This window comes from Homo sapiens, chromosome 3 (genome assembly GCF_000001405.40).
Source record: "Homo sapiens chromosome 3, GRCh38.p14 Primary Assembly".
Classification (NCBI taxonomy): domain Eukaryota; kingdom Metazoa; phylum Chordata; class Mammalia; order Primates; family Hominidae; genus Homo; species Homo sapiens.
In genome coordinates, this window is record NC_000003.12 from 118104096 (window position 1) to 118111144 (window position 7049).

General features: G+C 39.3%; 1 annotated feature.

Annotated features, from left to right (window-relative positions):
• Nucleotides 5621-6820: an enhancer, noted in NCBI's record as "CDK7 strongly-dependent group 2 enhancer chr3:117828563-117829762 (GRCh37/hg19 assembly coordinates)". NCBI's record gives its function as "activates an origin of replication core promoter dependent on BRD2, BRD4, P300/CBP, MED14 and CDK7 cofactors, with strong dependence on CDK7, by STARR-seq in HCT116 cells {active_cell/tissue: HCT116}" and the evidence as "EXISTENCE:reporter gene assay evidence [ECO:0000049][PMID:35650434]".

Below are 7049 nucleotides of genomic sequence, written 5' to 3' on the forward strand. Positions count from 1 at the left end.
TCTGTTAGTGCCCATAGAGGGCAGAAATTCCTGGAGTGAGCCAGCTGAATTATTTTTTACCAGAGGCAGGGCTGAGAAATTCTTGTTTAGCTTCATAGGCAACAGAGGGCTTAGCAGAAGAGGGGCTATGAAAAGCAAAGGAAATAAGTGACAGAAACCTCACTGTAGCTGATAGAACTTATTCATAAGTAAATGTGAAAAGAAAAAACACACAGAGTTTCCATCAGAAATAATAGGGGGTGTGGTAGCTTTAGAGGTGGGTAATAACTTGAAGGAAGTTAAAGATCAGTGTCACACATATGATGGCAAATTCTCCCTGAGTGAGTACAATACAGCCATGTATACAGAGAAAGTCCAGACTGTGGCCTTCTTAAAACAACTAATTTAGTAAGACAGTGTATTAGTTATCTGTTGCTGTATAACAAGTTATCCTCAAACTTAGTAGCTTGAAATAACGACATTTACTTTCTCTGAGTTTCTATAGTTTGGGAATCTAGATCCAGCTCAGCAGAATCTTTTGTTTCAGGATATCCCACAGGCTGCAATCTAGGTATGCACTGGGCCTCCAATGTCTAAGCCTCAACTGAGGAGGAATCCACTCAAGACCACTCATGTGGTTATTGGCAGGATTCCATTCATTTTGGGTGTTACACTGAGGAACTCAATTCCTTGTGGGCTTTTGGCTGAAGGCCACCCCCTCTCCTTTCCAGGGGGTTCCCTCCAACATTGCAGCTTGCTTCATCCAAGCATGCAAGTGGAGAAGTCAAAGAGAAGAGAGTCTAGCAAGATCAAAGGTGCAGTCTCTTGTAACCTAACTACAAAAGTAATAACTTTTGTCGGACTCTATCCATTAGAAACAAGCTAGGTCCAGCCCACACTGAAGGGGAGGCCATGAGTACCAGGCCATGGAGATTACTGGGAGCCATTTCAGAAAGCTACCACAGACAGGAAAACAGGTAAGGGGTGGGGAAGAGATTTATACACACTGCCAGGGCATTTCCTCTTGGAGTGTGATGTCCTAAATAATACTCAACATTGGGACATTAAGCCCCTAAGGTGCTCAGATAACAACTGCACTCAGATGCATGGAGTTATGTATGAGGCAGGGCATTAAGCAGGCCCTGAGTGCAGAGATTTGTCTGAGATAAACGTGACCATACATGACAGCATCAGGAAGCCTTTCAACAAAGGGAAATCTTGAACTGGGAATACAGGAAGAAGTAGCTAATGAGGGGGAAGAGTGAATGATTATGTTAGAGTACATAGGAAGTTTTACTGGATTTTAAAATATTTCTTTTATACAAACAATTTTGTAGACAACCTTTTAAATAATATTTTTATAGATGTTTTGTGTGAATGTATGAGTGGGTTTCTCTAGTCCCTATGTCATCAATGAGTTCCTGAAGATAAAAGTTTGAGAAGCCCAGTTAGTGTGATTCATTGAAGTGTTTTCTAAACTTCAGCCATTTAAGTATTTCCTTTGTGACTTTTCCCAGAGTGGTATTACTATTAGGCGACATTTTTTTAAAAGTTTAATGTCCATTTAACTCTGACATATTTTAAGAATATTTTTATAATCACTGCTAGAAACAGAAATCTGTTATTACTAGTCATAAATATCATTCTTATGTACATTGAAATTGATGTATGTGTATAAAATATTTGTCTATGTACTTCATCTCCAGTGATAGGAAAATTGAATTAAAAATTATACAATGGAAGGAACATGTACTTTGGGTTTGAATCACGACTTTGCCATTTTCTATTTATTAAAATATAGGTAACTAAGTAATAGTTGACTTATTTGAAACTCAGACTTCTTTTCTATAAAATTGGGATAATAGTATTCACCTTGACGTACTATTATTCACTGCTAATGAGATGATATTTGTGAAAAGGATCACATTTTGTATTTAATAATAACTGTAAACATAATATTGGTGATAACTATTACCTATTGCACAATTACTATGTGCCAAGCATTGTACTAAACTGTAAATATGTTTTTAATAAAAGTTAGTGTTTGTTTTCAAAAACTGTCTTATCAAGTAGCTCAATAATTCCACTTAATATTGATTATCTCCCTAAACAGTTCCCAAGTTTCTAAGGGACTGAAAAATATTTGAGGGTGTGCGATAGATTAGAACACTTACAGTGACTCTATCATTACAGCTGGACAAAAGTACCACGGTAAAATTTAATTAAGAATATGTTATAGATAAAAATTATGACACTCAAATCCCTCCCTTTGTAGTATACTGTATTACATGGATTGTATTTAATTAGTCCTCATAGTTTACACGTTGGTACATAAAGCCCTTGCAGCTGATTTTGCCACATTTCAAGGGAAAATTAGTTCACAAATGTGGAGTTTCCTGAGAGTTTTAAGCACAAGAACAGAAGATACGACAGGTGCCCCATGGGTGGTAATTTCTTTATAAACTAGAGACAATTAGGCTAATAAGACAATTTATGTGTCTTGATTCTACTCTCCCAAATTTCCAATACTTATCTTAAAATAAGTATTTGCCAGTCCAACAGATAATCCCTTCCAGCTGGGTTCTGTCTTTCAATGACCTCCAATCTTACTTAGGTCAAACTTCCTCTAGCTGTTCTTATCTTTCTACTCAAACCTTGTTAAAGCATTTGTGTGGAACAGACTTTCCTGAAGGGTTGAGGTAACAGGTTTGTGTGCCAATTTGCTACTCAGCCCTCCAAAACCTCCCTGCTTCACCATTTTCTTGGGTTCCATTCCCTAGGCTCCTAAGAGCATACTCCGCTTCATTTTATTATGCAGAACAGCTTGGTTCTCCACCACCTACCCAGCTCAGAGCCTGCTACTGTATACCAAACAGTTCGTTAGGGGACAAGTAACAGACTCTTGTAGGCCCCTCGAAAGAGCACAAATTAATGGCAAGAGGCGTTGAAATTTTCTTACTTTTTATCATTTCAACTAATCTCCATAAGAATAAAATAACAATGCATACACTATTTTATGCAATTTCCCTGAGAAGGCAGAAGCACTTATAATCGTTTTGGGTGGTAAGTAATTTTTTCTTTTTATTATAGTTGAATAATTCCAGGCAGAAACGAGAAGTTTCTAATCCCATTTTAACAGTTTCCTCTACCAATCAAAGGTTTCCTCACTCTACTTTCTAACATTTTTCACAATGGTCATGCACATATAAAAAGGGAATAAACCAATCTTTTGGGATAATAAAATCCAATGTACCCATTTTACAGAGAAATAAACTGATGGCCAGAGCAGAACCTAAATTTCTCATTTCTCTGTTTTTTTTTTTTTTTTTTTTTTTTTGGAGACGGAGTCTCGCTCTGTCGCCCAAGCTGGAGTGCAGTGCCGCGATCTCCGCTCACTGCAAGCTCCGCCTCCCGGGTTCACGCAGTTCTTCTGCCTCAGCCTTCCAAGTAGCTGGGACTACAGGCGCCCGCCACCACGCCCGGCTAATGTTTTGTATTTTTAGTAGAGACGGGGTTTCACCGTGTTAGCCAGGATGGTCTCAATCTCCTGACCTCATGATCTGCCCTCCTTGGCCTCCCAAAGTGCTGGGATTACGAGCGTGAGCCACCACGCCCGGCCGGAACCTAAATTTAAACAACTATTCAAGGAGAGGAATAGACAGTAACTCGGGTCGGTATATCATACCCCTCCATATTTTCAGTGCATCATTCAACGGCAAGGATGAAAGGTCAAAAAGTAACATCTTGAATATGTCCCAGCAAAGAAAATTATTAGTACTCTGAGACCAATAATTGCCCCCAGAATTTTAGTTGGTGGAGCATTTTAATTAGTATTTGAAAGATTGTAATCCAAACTGTAACTGGTCCCCTCTTTTCTCTGTGCATTCTTTCCTCTCAGCACAGTTCATCACTAATTCACACTCTACCTGACATTTCAACACACAGGAGGAAAAAGGAAGTTATGGGCTTCTAGAATCTCCAGCAATACTTTCTCTCCTTGACAATAGCTATGATCCACTTCTCAATATCTGCTGCAGTCTTTCACTAGAAAGCCAAACTTTCAGCTGAAAAGCCACTAATATCAGACTAACGCTTGTAGCAGAATCCTCTCTTTTTCTGAAAATATCGGAGGATTGAAGGGGGTGACCCCATATGGGCTGGGGTGGACGTGATAAAATGCAAATTTGCAGCTTTCAGTGGAGAGAGAATGATACAGTACTAGGTCAGAAGTGTGGACTGAATGAGGATTTTTTTAAATACTAATGTAACTGGGGGAGGATGGCTTCCAGATGGGAGGGGCAGCCTGTGGAGAGAGGTTTGTGGGGGCTGAGGGTGAAAATTGAGCAAGCATATGGAACTGTTAGGGAAAGAAAAAGGCTCTAAGAAGACAGAAGGTGTGGAAATGAGACTCATATGGAGTAGAGAGCTTGATAAAGATAAGCAAAGTGTGTTAGGTCTGAAAAGAGGGAGGCATACTCAGGAAATGACCTTGGATAAAGCTGGAATCCTAAAGGCTTCTAGGAGTAGTTTCCATTATAAAGCAAGAGAGAAAAGAAAGAGACATGCTAGTCCAGCAAAGAAAAATAAGGCTTCCAGGGGGCTTGGGGTTAAAGTAAGGAAAGGAAAGTAATGGGAAGGTATAGAACAGCATCTCTTTGGGATTTTCAGGTAAAATGTTGTACAGAACATTCAAGCATCTAGGAGCATCTGAATTTCTTCTACTCAAAATATCTTTACAGATAAGGCAAATGGAGCAAAATGTGAGTAATAAGTGAAACTAGGTAAAGGGTTCTTTGGTGTCCCTTTTGTCCTTTGACTATTGTTAACTCTTGAATGATAAACAAGGAGTCACCGCTAGGTTTTGCTCTGTAGTGTTACCTCACCTCTGATAAATGTTTGGTTTCTTCCTCTGGTGTCGCAATTCAAAGAACAAGCAAAGACTGATGAGACAGAGGAGTTTCCCACTTAAGAAAAGCTGTTCTAATAGCCACTCCCTGCTGTCAATTTTTTCTCAGCCTACTTAATTGATATAATGTTCTCATCATCCCCACATTCCTAAGATGCCCTCCATCCCCAAGTGTGACATAGGTAGATGGTTTAACATGCACTAAACTTTGACAGAAAGTCTCACTCTGTCACCCAGGCTGGAGTTCAGTGGCACGATCGCGGCTCACTGCAACCTCTCTCCTGGGCTCAAGTGATCCTCCTGCCTCAGCCTCTCGAGTAACTGGGACTAGAGGTGTGTGCCACCATTCGCAGCTAATATTTTTGGTAGAGACAGAGTTTCACCATATTGCCCAGGCTGGTCTTAAACTTGTGACCTCAAGCAATCTGCCCGCCTCAGCCTCCCAAACTATTGGAATTACAGGCATGAGCCACTGTGCCTGGCTACAATAAACTCTTCCTAAAATGTCAGGCACTGCTGGACTGAACATGACAATGTAACATAGTTTAGTCAGTTTACTAGCAAGAAATCATCAAATGTACTAAACATAAGCCATCTTACTCAAGTACCATTTCATTTCCCTAGATCCTGTACTTATGCTGAATCTGCAACAATTCTCCAACTAAGGTGATTATATGAGCTCTGATTCTTCTTTGCCAAGTCCTCTTCTGTCCTTATTTTTAGTTTTCACTGTATTATACCTATTACCTCCTTAACTTTGAGCCTGTCAACATTTTAGTATAATCACTAAATTATACTAAGTCTAGTATAATCACAAATTATAGTAAATCTAGCATAATCAGTGGATAATCCAGTATCTAATGTTGAATTTTGTTCATATTTTTAAAACACTTTATTTTCTTACCATATAACACCCATGGGGAGTCAGTGTGTATTTGTATTTCAAAATGTGTTATTGGTCTTCAGTATATGTACAATTGTTAATATCTAAGAAAAGCCCTGTTTAATTCTGTATTCCTTTACTAGAAGAGTCTGATTCATTTATTATGATAAGGCGTCTATATGCCTTTAACGAAACCTATTTCATAAATAGTTTAGACTTTGATGTTTGCTAACAATGTAGTAAAGCAATTTGTGTATACTGACATGACTTGCCAGCATGCTATCTTGCAAAGGATCCTATGGGTAAGTAGGAACAACAGAAGTGGCAGGAAAAGGCCATGAGTCTCAGTCACACTATCTTTGTAGTAGGAACTCTGGATCCCTTTGGATTTGTTCTGCTTTGGCAGAACACAACTGGAAGACTTCTGTTGGGGACTTCCCAGGGATTCCCATTTCAATACGTATGCCTGCATATGGCCTCTGAATCACAGTTGAGTAATGCAGCAGAGGCACTACCACTTGCGCTCGACCACATCAGACTCCGACTTCTCTTTGATTGCAAACTTCCAGGCGACCAGAAGTCTCCAACAAAGCATAACTTCTACCTCAGAACCAACAGCTTTCATTACACCGCAGGGTGAACAAGCCCTTTCAGCCACCTCCTTGTTGCCTGACTTAGATTTTAACCTTCCTTTCAATCTTATGTGTTTCTCACTCTAAAGTAGAAGAGAGTAGATGGAGAATCCTGGATCTTTATGGCTTTTGAAAGAGGGTCTGCAGAGGGACCCTGGGGGACTAGCCCTGACAGCTTTATTTCAGACTATGTCACCAGAAACGCAAGTGGGAAGGGAAGTTATTGTGAGCATTTCAAAACAACATTCAGTATCACCTTCTGTTTTGACCTGTTCACCCTTTTCTTTCACGAAATTATCTTTTGATTCTCAAACTCCCTTGCCCTAGTCTAAGAACAAAGAGCCCCCACCCACCTTTAGCACACAAATTGCTTTAGTAATTTTTAAGTTATAAAGCGGGGGAGGGGAGGGGATGGTGGAGGGAGGGGAATTTCATTAAAAACTTGTTTTTTATGGATAATTCAAATATAGTTGAACTTTAGAACTTTAAGATGAAGAATAAGATTGTTATGTTTTTGAAAAAAAAAAAAACTCTGAGCAATCAACAACCAGCCTTCATATAGGCACAATAAAATTGAGTTTTAAAGTGTATAATCATACCTCTGCATAACATGGCAGGGATATTATTGTTTGTTTTGATATGGTGCTTT